Below are 17284 nucleotides of genomic sequence, written 5' to 3' on the forward strand. Positions count from 1 at the left end.
AACTCATCAACTAGCTAGCAAAAATGAACACATGAGAGTACAATAGTTGTAGCTATTTGAGTATTACATAAGATGCAGAAGAATTGGGAGTAAAACCTTCTAGGTAAAAGGAAGATAGTGAGATAAAATTGCCAAAAAATACTCAGAAAGAGGGATGACAGGACAGAAAAAGTCTGCCACCAAAGCTAAGCCTGGACATGAAATTAAGAAGAAAATATAGGGGAATTTTCATGCCAAGATGGGGAGCACTGGCTTTACCCTCTAGGAAATATGGAAGAAATTTCAGTTAAAGAGCAAACCCATATTGTGGGCCACTCTCTCTGTTAGGGCCTCCGGATTTAATTGGAAGTAGAGACACAGATTAGGAGACCAGACTTGTTATGAGGTTACAACAGTAGTTCAATTAAGAGAGGATAAAACATTAACACTGGGTAATGACAATAGAAGTGGATATCAACGTTAATTTCCCTGTTTTGATCTTTGTGGTAAGGTGTTAAACTGAAGGTAAACTGAGTCAGGGGTTGCTATGGTTTGGATGTGTCTCCTCCAAAATTCAGGTGTTGCTAACATAACAATATTAAGAGGTGGGGCCTTTAAGAGGTGATTGGGCCATGAGGGCACCTCCCTCACAAGAGATTAGGTGCTTTTGTTTTTGAGAGGGAGCCTTGCTCTGTCGCCCAGGCTGGAGTGCAGTGGTGTGATCTTGGCTCACTGCAACCGCCTCCAGGGTTCAGGCGATTCTCCTGCCTCAGCCTCCTGAGTAGCTGGGATTACAGTGTGCTCCACCATGCCCAGCTAATTTTTGTATTTTTAGTAGACACGTTTTTCACCATGTTGGCCAGGGTGGTCTCTATCTCGTGACATCGTGATCTGCCCACCTCTGCCTCCCAAAGTGCTGGGATTACAGGTGTGAGCCACCTTTCAGTGCCTGATTAGGCACCTTTATAAAAGAGCTTAACAGAGGGAGAGACAAACTCCCTTTCATCATAAGAGAACACAGTGTTCCTCTTCTTCAGATGACAGTACGAAGGGCTTCACCACATGCTGCACCTTGATTTTGGACTTCCCAGCCTCCAGAACTGTGCGAAAATAATTTTTTCTTTATTAATTAACCCGTTTTAGGTATTTTGTTATAAGCAGCACAAGACAGACTAAGACAGGGGTATGTAGTAACTATTTTTGCAACTTTTCTGTAAGTCTAAAATTAGTCCAAAAATTAAAGAAAAAGAATGAATAATAAGAAAAAGACACCAGAGTTACCGAAAGAACTAACAGAGTTCAGAGACTTATGAGAAAGATGTCTCTTCATGTAGAAGACCATATAACAATTTATTTTTTTGCTTTGTTTTGTAGTCTAGTGTATTCACTTTCATTTTTTAAGGAGAAATTATGTTCCCATATTGTGAAGTAACACATTATCAGAAAAAAAAAATAAGTCAAGATGTAATATTCAGTATGATATTAAGTTAATGAATCTGAGAATTTAGTTCCAGTCACTGCATATGTAATCGAAAAAGAAAAGTGAACAAATTGTCAAAACTTCCTGTCATTACCAAATTTCCTTCTAGTGGGTGACTCTTAAATTAGGAAATGCCTTCACAGAGAAAAAAACATATCCAAATATTTTCTGAAAAACCGTGTTGTTTTATTTATGCACAGGCTTCGTGCGTTTGGTCAGAGTAGTATGGGGTTAACAGTTTTGAACATAAAATAGTTCTGACGTCTTCTGAAACGCTTATCTGTTTCTTTGAGCAAATACTTTAACCTGTCTTAGCCTCAGATTTAAATCTACAAAATATAATAGGGTTATTGTGAGAATTAAACAAAATAATATATGTAGGTACCTATCACAGAAATAACAACATGCTAAGCCAGTGAGTACTAAATGTCTCTGTATTAGGTTTTACCCTCTGAAAAACAGACCCCTAATGTCCCTTCCAGATCTATGGAATAATAAAATGGAGACACATTTCTAAAAAATATTTTCAGGCAGTTTGATACAAAATAATAGTTAAAAATGCCTGTAGTGTGCACCAAACTTTTTAAAATTTAGCTTCATCCATTCTCCCTAGAGACACTAATTTCTATTGTGATTACTTTGAAGAACTACTATTCAGATTCGTTTGTAAAGTGAAGTATTCTTTTTTCATACTCCATAGTCATGCAAACTGTTTCCTGTTAAATGGAAGATAGGATATTTTCTCTGGAGCTTACAAGACTGATGATGAACATATCTATTTCTGTTGATCTTATCTTATTATGAGAGGCAGCCCATCATGTTATTACTGGTGCTGGAGTAAGGGGTTGGGTTTCTATCTTCTACATGCTCTGTGATTCAGCTTTTCATATGCAAAGACAAACAATTTTTATTCTACAAGCCTCAAAGTTTTGCGTGAGGATCACATGTAATCACATGAAGTATAGAAAAGTGGTTGAGAGGATACATGTGGAGTCAAAATGTCTTCAACCAGAACATTTCTTTTACATTTCATCTCCAACATTTACTAGCTCTGTGTTCTTGGCCAAGTAACAAAAGTTTTCCAAGCTTTGGTTCCCTAATCTTTAAAAAGGAAGGTGAACATTATTGTTACATCATCATAGCCTTGGTGAGATAATTATATGGATTACTGTATGCAAAGAGCACAGAAGAGTTATTGACACTACGAGCTTACTGTCACTATTGTTATATTATGTGTGTATACAGGTAAAACTAACAAACTAATCTTTTACAATTTTAGATGGTAGTGAATGCTTTAATTTATAATTAAGTGTAGTTTTGCATAATGGCTTTGACAATAGATTTCATTAAATTTGGGGGGAAACACAAAAAGACAATCTCAAATGTAGCAATATATCCACACGCTTAGAAAGAAAGTGATTTTGTTAGTAAAACTGCTCAAAAGAAAACACACACAAACACCACTCACACACACACACACACACACACACACACACACAGTATCTCATTATCTCATTCTTCCATCCAGTCTACTAATCTATCTCACATCACCTTTCTCTTTGGTATAAAATTGCTCTGAGAGCAAAAATAAAAAGTATTTTATAAACAAAAGTGTACTATGTAAAAGCTTATACATTAAGCAGGAGGCTAGACACCGGGCACATCATCAGTACAAGTTTCTCATTGTTATTTGAATGGATGGCATTTTGAATGAATGCCATATCTCCCAGTCCATGCCAAGATGAACTACTGGGCTGGGGACTGCAACAGAGCTAAGACAAGCTTTTACCCATGTACTCATCCAGAATATTTCTGCCTGATGTCTGGCTTCCTGGAAATCCACATCCTTCAGCTTTAGACATCTGAAAATGAAAAGGCAGCACTACTTTCCGTCAAGGACGATATTTCTCCTAATAGTGACTCAAGACTGTTGATGCACCTGTACACTGGAATAGATGTGTGTAGAGGTTTTGTGGGTGCATTTGTCAAGTGATTGCCCATGGGGGAAAAAATGGATGTTTCGAGGTTAATCTTTTAGCAGAAAAGATTGCTAGTCAAGCAGCAATGCACACTTCTCCATGGATATGCATACAGAATGCAGACCACGAAGGCAAATTGAAATGTGTAAACCTTGCAGGATAATGTTTCTTCAAAGCTGCAAGTGTTGGTGTGTGATAAATAGGACCCTGAGTAATACCCAGGAAATATAACAACCAGGATTCTCTGTTTGTGTTTTCATTTGGAACTGTTTTTGTCCCTTTGTCAAGGATACAAGAGACTCATTTAGCTAGTGACTATAAATTTGACACTGTGCCATTTCTCCAAGAAAGCCCCTATTATAATCCAACTTGATACTGATCCTAATTATAATAATATAGCTGTTGTATTTCCAGCTGTTGTCAACAAAAATGATCCCTGTCACCACAATTCAGCCTGCTAGTATCAAGCCGAGTATGAACACATCAATTCCAAGGTGAATTCTGCATTAAACAAACTTTTTTTTTCTTTTTTGCATTTAGTTTGTTTCACTCGTTTAAGTGAAATTTGCCAATGTGCTGCTCGGATTTTAATTAACAAAAGGCTTACAGTATCATGTGCCTCTTGCCACACCTGAAAGTTTCCTCCCATTAGCAGCAGGACCCATTTTTCTCCCCTTCCACATAATAACAGCAAAAACTACAGGCAAAATTAACCATCAAAGATGCTACACTGTCGGGGTGGAGGTTCCAGTTTGCTGATAAACTAAGATGAAAGACCTTCAGGAAAATGAGATGTTGGGGTTTGGGTAGTGCAGCTGTGTTAGCGAGGCTATACTTTTTTTTATGAGTAAGTCAGCACACCAATTCTGCACATTATTCAGAAAGAAAAATGCTGGTGCTGACACCCTGATCAGGAAAACGACAGTTTGGTGCAGCGTAAAAATGTGCCCACTGGAAAAGCTAAAACTCTTATGATCAGAAGAAGACAAATTCCATTTGCAAAGAGTCATTTGCAATACATTTTTAGAGAATCAGCATTCCAATACCAGGTGGGAAAATAAAGGGGCAGAACCTTTGCAATAACTAAAATTCAGAACAATGCACATTCTTGGTCTTCTACTATGCTCTTCAAACTTTTTATTTGACCTGCTAGTTATCCTGTTCCAAGTGCAGTATGTACAATCCACAGACAAAGTGTTTGGCATTATCATCTGAAAATGTCTTACTTAAACATTCATGCATCCCAAAGATCACTGGCCTAAAAGGTCATAGCAATGATGCAACTGCGTTCATTTATTTTAATAAAACTGAGCCCTCAACCCAACTCCTCTCATCCTTATTAATTCCCCTAAGTACTGTGCAATACAAATAGGTGTTGGGAGCACAGGGGTTGCCATGACAACCTTTTTTGGGTTGTTGTATAGCAGAGCAATAATTTCATAAGGCCTGCATTACTTGTTGATGTTTAAATTATTCCTCACTAGAAGTAGAAGCTTCTGGTCCTGGATGTTTTAAATGTGTCAGACAGAATTCATTATTTATTAGTTTTATGGAAAAATGCTCTGGGATACTTCTGTACTGACTGTCACATATTTCTAGAGGTTTTATGTGTGTTGGTTGGTTGGTTGGTTGGCTGGATGTCCGGTTGGTTGGTTGGTTGGTTGGTTGGTTGGTTGGTTGGTTGGTTGGTTGGTTGATTGAAAGTCTCCACCCCCTCCCCATCACACTGCTTCCCCAACCAAGTTACCACAGAGCACCGACCTGATGTGCTGAAGGAAAAAGCTGAGAAATAAGTGTATGCAGCCCATGCATTCATTTTTCTTTGCATCTCTCTGACTGATACCATAGTCTTCAACATTCATTTCTCTTGAAGGGCCTCAAGCAAATTCCCCCAGCAGGAAGCATGCCCTAAATTCTACCAGTATTTTTCAGTTTTGCTATTAGCTACCAAATATCCAAACCTCCAAGGGGCAACTTAGGCGTGTCTTTGCAGGGGGAGGAGGATTAAACATGGATCAGCCAAAGTTAGGGCTTCTTTTTTAACCCTGGATATGGAGATTTCATCCCCAGCCAAGCTCTAGGGGAAATAAATACTGAATTATTACCATCTGACCATTCAACTACAAGCAAGAAGACAGGGATTCCAATTCTTTCCAGGAACTTCTGCTCTGAATTACAGTTGGTTAACTGCAAGAGTAATGTCAAGCTGATAACAGAAGATCAAACCCTTCTCTTTTGTGGGTAATCAGTCTTGCCATTTAGAAAAGCCAGTTGAATAAGAGGCAGAGGCAGCATGTGCTTGCCATTTTGCTTCAGAAACCTCTCTTTTATGACACATACCACACAATGGAATCCTCAATGATTAGTTCCCTATCTTTCTTTTTTTGCAAAGGCCTACTCGCTGCTCACTGGGTGTTCTCCTTATGTGCCAACTCTCAGCCTGTAGTGAAATGTTGCTGCCAAATTCCACATGCTCCAAATTAAGTTTATTATGGGAATGGAGACAGATTCTTAACTGCAGTCAGGCGGATGGACAGCACCGAAATGTATCCTGTCATTTCTCTGGCTCCATGATTTGGGACATAAACCGGGGAAATAAAATTCAGTTTACATATTTTATTCTGGAGAATTTAGGGAACCAAACAATTTTGTAACTTAATGAAACATCCATGCACACTTAACATTGTGTTTTTAGAATGAGCCTGAAACTTTCTGAAACAATTAAACACTTTAGAAAATGTGTTTGAGCACACGGATGTCTTCTATTCACCCATGCATCATTCCAGCAAACATCTGTAATGTGCATTGGGTGAGAGAAATGGAAAATATCATATGAAAATGTGTAACTGTAGAATCTTAGACACGTTTATATGCACAGAGGGGAACTACCTTCTGTATCCTTCACAAACAATGCTAGCATGGTAGCCTACCCACTGCTTTTGCAAACAGATAATGAGGGCAATTGGAGGCCTGGTTGTGAAAACTAATAAGCTGCCTGTTTTATAGTTCCATGTGCATAAATACACCTTTTTGGAATTGGGGCGGTTCTATTTCTAATACAACAGAAAAAGAAAAGTATTTTCTTTTCATGGGCTGCTTATTCCCAGGAATCAAACCTTTGCTAATTTGTTACCTATGGAATGAAATCCTGTAAATGCTTGAGAACTAAATAGCACCATAAATGCTTTAGACTGGCAGCTATCGATATCCATACTGACTTTGAGAAATTATGCTACTGGTGGCACCACAGATGCCCAGATGCCTTCTACGGTATGTGACAACTACAGCAGGTAGAAATGTCATTCATCCTCTAATCCCAGCACTTTTGGAGGGTGAGGCAGGTGGATTATTTAAGCCTAGGAATTCAAGACTAGCCTGGGCAACATGGCCAAACTCTGTCTCTACAAAAATATAAAAATTAGCTGGGCATGGTGGTGTGCACCTGTAGTCCCAGCTACCAGCTACTTGGGAGGCTGAGGTTGGAGGATCACTTGAGCCCGGGAAGTTGAGGCCAGAGTGAGCTGTGATCATGCTACTGCACTCCAGCCTTGGTGACAGAGTGAGACCCTGTCTCAATAAAAAAAAAAAAGAAATGTAATTCATTCTATTTGAGTAAATGAACTAATCTATTCAATCACACAATGGCTATTTGCACAGTATATACTATATGCCAAGCACCAACTTAGATGCAAAGGGTATAAGAATATGCAAGAGAGCTAGACTTTCTCTCCTAATAGCATTTGAAGTTTACTTTAGCAGTGTTTTCACCTGGTTTCTCTTTATTGTAAGAAACTGCAAATCTTCATTAAATGTATTTTCTCGAAGGCAGCATGATGTAATTGAAAGTACAGATATATAGTGTATACACTATATACATACTACATATACATATAAAATTGTAGCATACATAGAATTATATAGTGTGTGTGTGTATATATATATACACATTATATAATTATAATATCAGATGTTTCTGTTGACTTTATTTGATTATACTGAGATCATATTCTACATCATGACTTAACACCCTTACACAGGAAGAGAATGTTTTTACATCAATAAGACTCCATTGCTTTATTTAAAAAATAGAATAGTACCACCTACTTCCTATTCTTATTCTGAGGCTCCATAAAAATAACATACAATCAGTATTCTCCAGGTGAGAGAATTTTGGTTGAGACACACTCTGTGCTCTCCAGAGCAAGCTACTTTATTTTTATTTAACAAAGTATAAATTTAAGGCCAAGATGCATGAGAACAGAGATATAAGCATTACAGTGGCTGTTCGTTTTTTTTGTCCCTCTAGAATGAGCTTACTTTTCTAGTTAAAAGCCAGGACTTTAAAACATAATAATAGTGTAGCTGGGGTTACCCTCCCTTTTCCAATGTGAGAGACAAAATCCTATCAAATTTCAAATGTGACAAAGTGAAAAGCCACTGAGCCACTGAGCTACTGAGGAATGAGAGTCTTAGATGAAAAAGGTTTAATTTCACAATCATTACAAGAACTATGAGTTCACAGAGTTTTTAAAAAATATTTACTAACTGACACGAAATATAATATCCTATACATGCCGCCATCAATGACATAGCTAAAATGGAAGTAAATTAGGCTAATCTCCTATTTGAGCCCTTCATTGTTTTAATTTTTTTTAATTGAAATCCTGCTGTGTCAAGCTTCAGAAACTGCGGTTAGAAGATTCTTGCTTTCTACAAGGGTAGACCAGTAGGAGAGCCAAAATGGAACAATTAGCTACTAAATGATGTGATCAAATGCAGTGGGTGACACAGAAATACTGAAGAATGCAGGAGGGGCAGATAAACAGTTAAAGCAAAGTTTTTGGTATGAGGGGACTTTGATATTGAAATCAGGCAGAAAAAGATAATCTCAGGTCAATGTTCACAGGTGGGGCTGCAAATCTAGAAGGGTACCCATGAATTTGACTAATCAGTTTGGAGCTTATTTTAGGAGAATGGAAAGTTAGTAAAGGGTTTTAAACAACCCTTTCCACCAATTACCCAGAGCTTTGTAATATTCCCAACTACTTTATTTACCCACTACTCACTCCATTTCTGTGATTCCACAACTATCCACATAGCTCAATCTGACCCAGATTCCAGATTTAGTTGATTCCTAAGTTGAATCATTCCCTCTTCTGAACTCTCAAAATACTTTACTTGATTGTCTCTAGGGGCACCTTTTACTTTTATATATAAATTGCAGTGCATACAGATTTTCCCCTTTTAGACTAAAAGCTTCTTAGGAACAATATTCTTTCTTATTCTCTCAACTTTCCCCTCTCATCCTCCCCTCCAGAATTAACCCATTCCTTGATAACATGGCTCCGTCACTTTGTTCAAATTATAAGCATGAATCTACATTGTCCTTGTTATACAAGTGCTGAGAACTATACCTGATATGAAATATTTATTCATTTAATCTTTGCAACAAGCCTCTGAGTCTGCTATGAATATCTGAATTCAAACAGAAGGAATAAAGCCTGAATTTATAAGGACACGAGAATGCTCCCAAATCTGCCCTTTTAACTGCTACACAAACACTATAATGTTTCTGAATTTTACATCTTCAAATGCAGAGAATATGAACTAGTATTTTTATTTTTCTCCCTAGCACTTCAGAAAATGCTTTGCATAGAAATATTCATTGGGTAAATATATAAATAAGAGAGAATTAATAGCTTATTTTCTTTTGGAAGATATTCAGAGATTAATGTAGCACATTGATCATGTTCTGAATTATGTGTTATGTCTACTGTTTTGTCTTCTTTTCATTTTGAATTTATTAAAGAATAACGGTAAGGGTTTTCTCTACTCTTAAAAGGGTAGTCATGACCTTGTCTTCTTAGAGTTGAACCCAGTCCCAACATAAGCCAGAATTAGCTTCAAACGGAGGCTAGTATGATATTAAACTCTCACTTAAGCTCCTGAAAACTTCCTATAGAGGAAATAATGAACTGAGGACATTATCACATTATCACACGAGATCAAGTATGGAACTTGCCACTTTTTGGGGTCATGTCAGCACTCAAAAACTGTCAGATTTTGAAGCACTTCAAATTCTGAATTTTCAGATTAGGGGACTCAATCTGTAGTGAGACCTTGGTACATGCATGCTTAGAGAGAGTTGTTTAAAAAATGTATTGAAAACTCTACGTGACATAATTAAAATCTTGGCAAACACAAAATAATATGTGAAAGGCTAAGCAATGGGTTTACAAAGAATGATTAAGGTTGTGCCAATATCTGGAGGCTTTCAAATTGGGAGGATGAAAAGAGGAGGGAGAGAGAGTGAGATAAGAGAAAGAAAAGAACTGATTATGTTTTCAGCCCTGAAGATGTGCTGATGAATCTGACGCAGACCATATTCTTAAGTAATCTAATGAAATGATAGCAAGAAAATTGAATAGATGCTGTATTTATTCAACATATTCCTTCATTTCTCTTTATTGGTATCCTTCTTTCTCTGTATTCTCACTTCCTTAGTCCCTTCTTCTCACACTATATATGTTTCTCAATTGCTGAATGCCACCAAACTGTTCCTGGTCTTGGAGTACCAATGATGAATACCGGTCCTTCTTGGCCCTTAGGGAGCTAGCTCACAGCCTACCAGGGAGAGGCACAGAAAGAAACATTATTGCCTAGACTGTAACCTAGGCGTGTTGCAGGAGTGGTGGGTGTGCAGAGAAGATTGACCCTGAGACCTGCTACTAGGGAAAGGTGGAGGGCAGGTTGGAGGTATGTAAAGGAAATCTTCCTGATAAAGTGACATGATGAATAGCCCAACTTCAAAGGTAGTCTGTGATTTTACAATATTGACTGTTATAGTACATGAACAATGTATGTGTCCATGTGTACATGTATGAGTTCTGTTTTGTTCCCCAATCCTCAAATTTCATTACATTGAAGACTTCTTACAAAATTGGGTTTCATTTGAAATGCAACTCAAAGTGCACAAATCTATGTATGCAACATATTTAGCAATATCAATAATTTTTAAAATTTCTTTAAATTTTAATCATTATGCCATACTAGGAAATAGCAACTTCACTAGGTGCTTATGAAAGGTAAAAGCAAAAATTAGCAGATTTGAAAGACGCACAAGAATAATTTGAGGAAACATCAAAGAAAATTCTGACATTATTTAAAAAATAACTCAAGTAATGAAGTCCTGCACTCAATTCAGTTCTGTTTCTTCTCTTTTCAATTCTTCCTAGTTGCCATATTCAAGACTCTTAGATGGAAAAGGAGAAAAAGACCATATACATTTTCTAACAGCTGTGCCTTTCCAACTATATTTTACAACAGCTGCGACATTTTTCTTTTTAACATTTGTACTACCTTTATGTTTACCCTTTGGGCTAATTTGTAGTTGACTCCAGTAATATAGCCCTTTTAGCCAACATTTTGTGACAATCATTGATTTAGCAGTCTCACAGAGTGCCTTAAAAATCGATGTATCTAGAAGAAAGAACTGGTGGGACTTCATAATATCACATCTTGTTTTTATCACAAATTTCCAATTTACCAAGTTCTTGTCTCATTGTTTATACCAGACAGGGCATGCTGATGAGATACACAACCCGTTCTGTCCCTTTTGGCAATCCATTTATAACCGAAGCACAATTAATATCTTTACAGCTGTTCGCCAGGCGGAAAGAAAAATGCGGCAGTAAGTATTTTGTACATGTTTCAGTGTAAATGTGTGAAGTGAGGAGCATTGGGAAATGTCTAAAAACAGTGGAATCTGAGCTGTTCTTGTATTTAGATTCTCCAGGGAAATGTTTTCAAAACAGTATTTCATATAGGAAGAGAAGTTACCTTGAGGAGCTTTCCAGAACTCCCAAGAAAATAATTAGAAATCAGGATAATCAGTAAACAAAGAACCTCACAAATGACTCTCCTTCAGAGGTATAGATTTCCCCAAAAGTAGTATGTTATTTCAAGATTTTAATTACTGTAAACCAAAAATATCTGAAACAGATCTCAATCACTTTAGAAAGTTCATTTTGCCAAGGTTAAGAGCATACCCATGACACAGCCTCCAGAGGTCCTGACAACATGTGCCCAACATGGTTGGGGTTTTCTACATTGAAACTCACTAAATTTCAAGAGTGTGCCACATAATTTGAATCTCCCTTTCTAATCCATTGTCAATTGCCTGTTTTACTGTCAAATATTAGTCTGTAACTAGAATACTAATAATTACCATCAAATATAAAGGAGCTTCTATGTTTCTGGTACAAGTACTTATTTACTTGATATAATTATCTTATTTAGACTTAAATGAGACTAAATTATATTCAAATCACTTTCAGATTTCCAAAAGAGGATAGGCATAAATAGGTACTCGATAAATGTTTTTAATTCATTCATCTATTCAATTACTGATGTGTTTTTGTATAGACATTTATGGCATAATTATAAAAGCAAGCACCCCAATAATTAGTCCAGCCAGGAAAACACACACACACACACACATACACACACATACACACACACTTATACAATAAGTATATTTTTCCTTTTTTTGAGACAGGATCTCACTCTGTTATCCAAACTGAGTGCCGTGGTACCATAACAACTCACTGCAGCCTCGACCTCCCAGGCTCAAGCAATCCTCCCACCTCAGCCTCCCAAGTAGCTAGGATTACAGGTGTGTAATCCCACCATGGCAGATTTTTTTTTTTTTTTAATAGAGACAGGATCTGGTCTTGAACTCCTAGACTCAAGCAATCCTCTCACCTTGGCCTTCCAAAGTGCTAGGATTACAGATGTGAGCCACTGTGCCCAGCCTACCTAAGGATCTTAAAGAGAAAATTCAAAATATGGGCAAATGTTTTCATGGTAGATTCTGATGTAACAAATAAATATTTATTTAAGAAGCATTTAGAACATCATTGATGATCTTTATAATAATAATATTTTTTAAAGATGAACATAAAATAGGACACACAAAATGAAAACAACCAATGGGAAATGTGAGAAAACCTTAATTGTTAAAAACAACAACAACAAAAAGCTAAAATGTTGAGGCCACTGGCCTGGGTCCCAATAATCAACAGATGTGGGGTCTGTGGCCAGAAGCTAGTTCTGACTAACAGTAAATTACATGTACTTAATTGCTATGCTCTATTGTTCTATATGCAAAAAAAAAAAAAAAAAAAAAAAAAAAAAAAACCCAGAAATCAGTAGCTACCTGAAAATCAGAATGTGGAGACACTCACCGTACATATTTTGAAACCATCAAACAAAGCACAGTATGTCAGAAAACAGAGCAGTATATCCATCCGGTGTGAGAAGAACTCTGCTCTGCATGAATGGTTTCTCTACCAGGACTAGAATCCTCCAAGGAGCTGTGCTTATAATGCAAATCTCTGGGCCTGACTCAATGGAAACCAACTTGGAATCTCAGAGGTTCAGGACAGGAATTTACTTCACATATTAACCCAAGGAAAAGAGCTAATTGTGAGTTAGGACAGAGGCAAAGATGTTTACATCCTTCTAAAAGCATTATGTTATCTCAAGTTTTTAATTACTGTAAATCAAAAGTATCCGAGACAGGTCACAATCAATTTAGAAAGTTTATTTTGCCAAGGTTAAGGTCCCAACCATGACACAGCCTCAGGAGGTCCTGATAACATGTGCCCAAGGTGGTTGGGATACAGATTGTTTCTATGCATTTTACGGAGACATGAGACATAAATCAATACATGTAAAATTTACACTGGTTCAATCCAGAAAGGTGGGACAACTCAAAATGACGGCTTCTAGGTCATAGGTAGATTTAAAATTTTTCTGATTGACAATTGGTTGAAGGAGTTATTATCAATACAAAGGAATGCCTGGATTACTTTAAGTGGTTGTAGGGACCAAAGTTTTATCATGCAGATGAAGCTTCCAGGTAGCAGGCTTCAGAGAGAATACATTGTGAATGCTTCTCATAAGACTCAAAGAGTCTGTTCTAACAGTAATTCCAAAAGGGAGGAGGGCATAAAGAGTCCTGTCCAGCTCCCCATTCCCATCACAGCCTAAACTAGTGTTTTCAGGTTAACTTTGGAATGCCCTTGGCCAAGAGGAGGGCAGGTACTCAGATGGTTCGGGGGACTTAGAATTTTATTTTTGGTTTTTATTTTTGGTACAAAAGTAATATGAACTTGCTATGGGATATACACCTCTTTAACAACACAACTCAAAGAGACACTTCAGAAGGCACAGAAGCAAGAAGGCTGGGCTTTTAGGATGATACAAAGAAGTGTTAAGAAGTTAATTAGCACCTGCATTCTAAAGAGCAGTCAGTTACAATTTAGGACAGATGGGGGTCAAGCACTGAAAAACATTCAGAAGAGCCTGGGAAATTGTGAAAGATAACAGCTTAAACTTTATTTTTGTAAGTATTTAAACCTATGTTTTGTAATGTTTCTATGATTCTTTTCTAATTCCCTCTAGTTAGGGTATGTCTTGTGTGAATGTGTGTTCGTATTCGTAGAAATGAATGAAGAATATAGTTGCTAATATTATACGAATAATAAAAAGATTAATTATTTTGATAAACGCCTGTGTCCTGTAGACATAAATAAGCCTAAATTAGGTTGAAGTTTTTTCAACCACTTTTATTTGGTGGCATATCCCCCACACTGGCTTTGTCTCTGAAAGGAATAAAAACTTCCATAGCAGTGTTTTCTAAATTGTGGACGACACAGGCTACTTATGAAGCAGCACACCATAAGCTGGTTCAACATAAGGATTCCCAGGCCCCCCACATGAAGAACTGAACATGGAATAATACACATCAACTTGTAATAATTAACATTACTAATTAACTAGTAATTAAATAGTTATGTGGAACAGAGTAAGCTCTCAAATACGTTTACTATACAGACAGTCCCTGACTTATGACGGGTCAACTTATGAATTTTTGACCTTTATGATGGTGGGAAAGCGATCTGCAGTCAGTAGAAACTATTTTGTTTTTGAATTTTGATTTTTTCCTGAGCTAGTGATATGTGATATAACTCTGTTTTTCAATGCTGGGCTGAGGGAATGAACAGCAGCTCCCAGCCAGTCATGCCATTGTGAAGCTAAACAACCAGGTGCGGTGGCTTACTCCAGGTGAGGTGGCTCACGCCTGTAATCCCAGCACTTTGCGAAGCCAAGGCAGGTGGATCACCTGTGGTCAGGAGTTCGAGACCAGCCTGATCAACATGGTGAAACCCTGTCTCTACTTAAAATACAAAAATTAGCCAGGGGTGGTGGTGCACACCTGTAATCCCAGCTACTCAGGAGGCTGAGGCAGAAGTATTGCTTGAACCTGGGAGGCGGAGGTCGTAGTGAGCCAAGATCACACCATTGCTCTCCAGCCTGGGGCAACAGAGTGGGACTCCATCTCAAAACAAACAGACAGACAAAACTCTATGATGTCCTGTGGTGCCAGATGATTTTTGCCCAACTGCTGGCTAATATGAGAGTTCTCATCTCATGTACCCCCAAAATATATATACCTACTATGTACCCACAAAAAATTTTTTTAAATAAAAATAGAATTTCAAACATTTTTAAAAAAGAGTCTTGAGCATATTGAAGGTAGGCTAGGCTGAGCTATGATGTTAGGTACAGTAGGTTAGGTATATTAAATGCATTTTCTACTTATGATATTTTCTTTTTTTCGTTTTTTTGTTTTTTGAGATGGAGTCTCGCTCTATCACCCAGGTTGGAGTGCAGTGGTGTGATCTCAGCTCACTGCAAGCTCCGCCTCCCAGGTTCAGGCCATTCTCCTGCCTCAGCCTCCCGAGTAGCTGGGACTACAGGTGCCCACCACCACGCCCAGCTAATTTTTTGTATTTTCAGTAGAGACAGGGTTTCACCATGTTAGTCAGGATGGTCTCAATCTCCTGACCTCGTGATCTGCCTGCCTCAGCCTCCCAAAGTGATATTTTCAACTTACTATAAGTTTATTGAGATGTAATCCTAAGGTACAAGCATCTGTATTCAGTAAATACTTTCAAATATTATCTCTGAATGTATCAATACAACAGCCCCAATTGAGAATATTATCTCACTCAATCCAAAAAAGTGGTTCCATTATTGTTGCTTTTTTACCTGTGAGGCAACTATTAGTTTGGTGCAAAAGTAATTGCGGTCATTGCCATTACTTTCAATGGCAAAAACTACAATCACTTTTGCACCAACCTAATAGATACAGAGAGGTTCAACAAAAGGAATCTTTCCTAAGACCCCATAGACTGTTGAGGCTCTGTTTTTGCAAGACAGAGTGCTAGAATCTGGGGATTCAAGATTAGGCAAATAGGCATGAAACTTACCATGACAGAGCTTCTAATTTTAAAAATCTTTGGTGGAAACATTTGAAAAGCTCTAGCAAGTTAGGAAGTCCTTTAGATGACACATTTCACAGGGAGAAGCAGACAATTATAGATTTGGAACAACTGTGAGGTCTTGCATTTTTCCCAGAATATATCATGCAGCTTCTGCATTTAATTCCTTAATATGTCAACATTACTTTTTTTTTTCACATAAAATAGCTTGGCAAATGTTCTGGTAACACCTCAGAAGGTTGTATCATGGCTCTTACTGTTTTTAGAATCCTCTGGAATACTACCGTGGACTCCATGTAGAGAAATAGAGCATTACAATGACCCACTAAGCAAGTGGTTTTCCAAGTATGGTCTCCAGACCAGCAATATGAACATCACCTGAATTACAAACTCTGAGGGCAAGACCCAGAAGCTACACTTTAACTGATCCTCCGTGTAATTCAGACATACACTCAAGTTGAAGAACCAGTGCATTACATGAGCAGGAACGGGACTATTATATTGAATCAACAGAGGTATCATCTATAACCTAAAAAGAAGCCACGAATATAATGTGTTATATAACGCTTTCACTTCTTTTTATAACTTTACAACCTTCTGAGTGAGGTAAGATAATTACAAAGTTTCTAATTTTATAGAAAAGTTGACTGAAAAGTTTTCCTCTCCTATATATGCTTCAAGGTTCACAGAAAGTACTATGTCAGGTGTACATCCACGTATGCATTTTAAACTTTTAATATGTGTTACATTGTGAAATTATCAGTAAGCGTATAACTCATAAATCTCCCGTTTTCATCCAAGGCTTTCCATCATTATGGTATCTTGCCACCAAATAGGAAGCTATTGTGACCAAAATAGTTAGGTTTTCTTTTCTTCTCCCTGCCCCTCCACCCCCAAGATGGAGTCTCGCTCTGTCACCCAGGCTGGAGTGCAGTGGTGCCATCTCGGCTCACTGCAACCTCTGCCTCCCATGTTCAAGCAATTCTCCTGCCTCAGCCTCCTGAGCAGTGGAGACTACAGGCACCCGCCACCACACCTGGCTAATTTTTGTATTTTTAGTAGAGACAGGGTTTCACCATGTTGGCCAGGATGGTCTCAATCTCCTGACCTCGTGATCCACCCGCCTCAGCCTCCCAAAGTACTGGAATTACAGGTGTGAGCCACTGTGCCCGGCCAGGTTTTCTTTCTTTAGGATGGTAAATTAAGAAATGTAGAATGCAATATAGTCTTCATGCTAATTGTACTTTTTTATCCAAAATTAATGTATCATAAGCATAGTCATTATAAATATGTACTCTGTTAAATACTGAACAAGAATCAAATAAGCGTAAATTTCCAGACGGACAATTTTACAAATCCCTTAACAGCTGAGAGTTGCTGTTTCCTAGTCCTCCATATTAGATTAAAAGATTTCTGGTTCTTGAAGTCAACTTCCTCCTTCCCATTCATTATAAAAGGCACTCATACTTCAGAGCTTTGAATGACTAATGCCAAGA

At 37.7% G+C, this 17284-nt stretch overlaps 1 protein-coding gene across 5 annotated transcripts in view, besides 4 other annotated features; it reads right to left on the reverse strand.

The window, feature by feature from the left end:
* CDH8 (cadherin 8) overlaps nucleotides 1-17284 on the reverse strand; it is a 389189-nt gene that overhangs the window by 211962 nt on the left and 159943 nt on the right. The gene's annotated exons all lie outside the window — the stretch shown is intronic.
* Nucleotides 12639-13317: an enhancer, noted in NCBI's record as "OCT4-NANOG hESC enhancer chr16:61905754-61906432 (GRCh37/hg19 assembly coordinates)". NCBI's record gives its function as "activates a minimal SCP1, AML or CMV promoter by ChIP-STARR-seq in naive and primed H9 embryonic stem cells {active_cell/tissue: H9 hESC(naive and primed)}" and the evidence as "EXISTENCE:reporter gene assay evidence [ECO:0000049][PMID:30033119]".
* Nucleotides 12639-13995: a biological region, named in NCBI's record as "OCT4-NANOG hESC enhancers GRCh37_chr16:61905754-61906432 and GRCh37_chr16:61906433-61907110".
* Nucleotides 13234-13528: a silencer, noted in NCBI's record as "tiled region #8156; HepG2 Repressive non-DNase unmatched - State 24:Quies, and K562 Repressive non-DNase unmatched - State 24:Quies". NCBI's record gives its function as "represses a minimal TATA promoter and a strong SV40 promoter by Sharpr-MPRA in HepG2 and K562 cells {active_cell/tissue: HepG2 | K562}" and the evidence as "EXISTENCE:reporter gene assay evidence [ECO:0000049][PMID:27701403]".
* Nucleotides 13318-13995: an enhancer, noted in NCBI's record as "OCT4-NANOG hESC enhancer chr16:61906433-61907110 (GRCh37/hg19 assembly coordinates)". NCBI's record gives its function as "activates a minimal SCP1, AML or CMV promoter by ChIP-STARR-seq in naive and primed H9 embryonic stem cells {active_cell/tissue: H9 hESC(naive and primed)}" and the evidence as "EXISTENCE:reporter gene assay evidence [ECO:0000049][PMID:30033119]".

The sequence above is a fragment of the Homo sapiens genome, chromosome 16 (genome assembly GCF_000001405.40).
Source record: "Homo sapiens chromosome 16, GRCh38.p14 Primary Assembly".
In the NCBI taxonomy this organism is placed as follows: domain Eukaryota; kingdom Metazoa; phylum Chordata; class Mammalia; order Primates; family Hominidae; genus Homo; species Homo sapiens.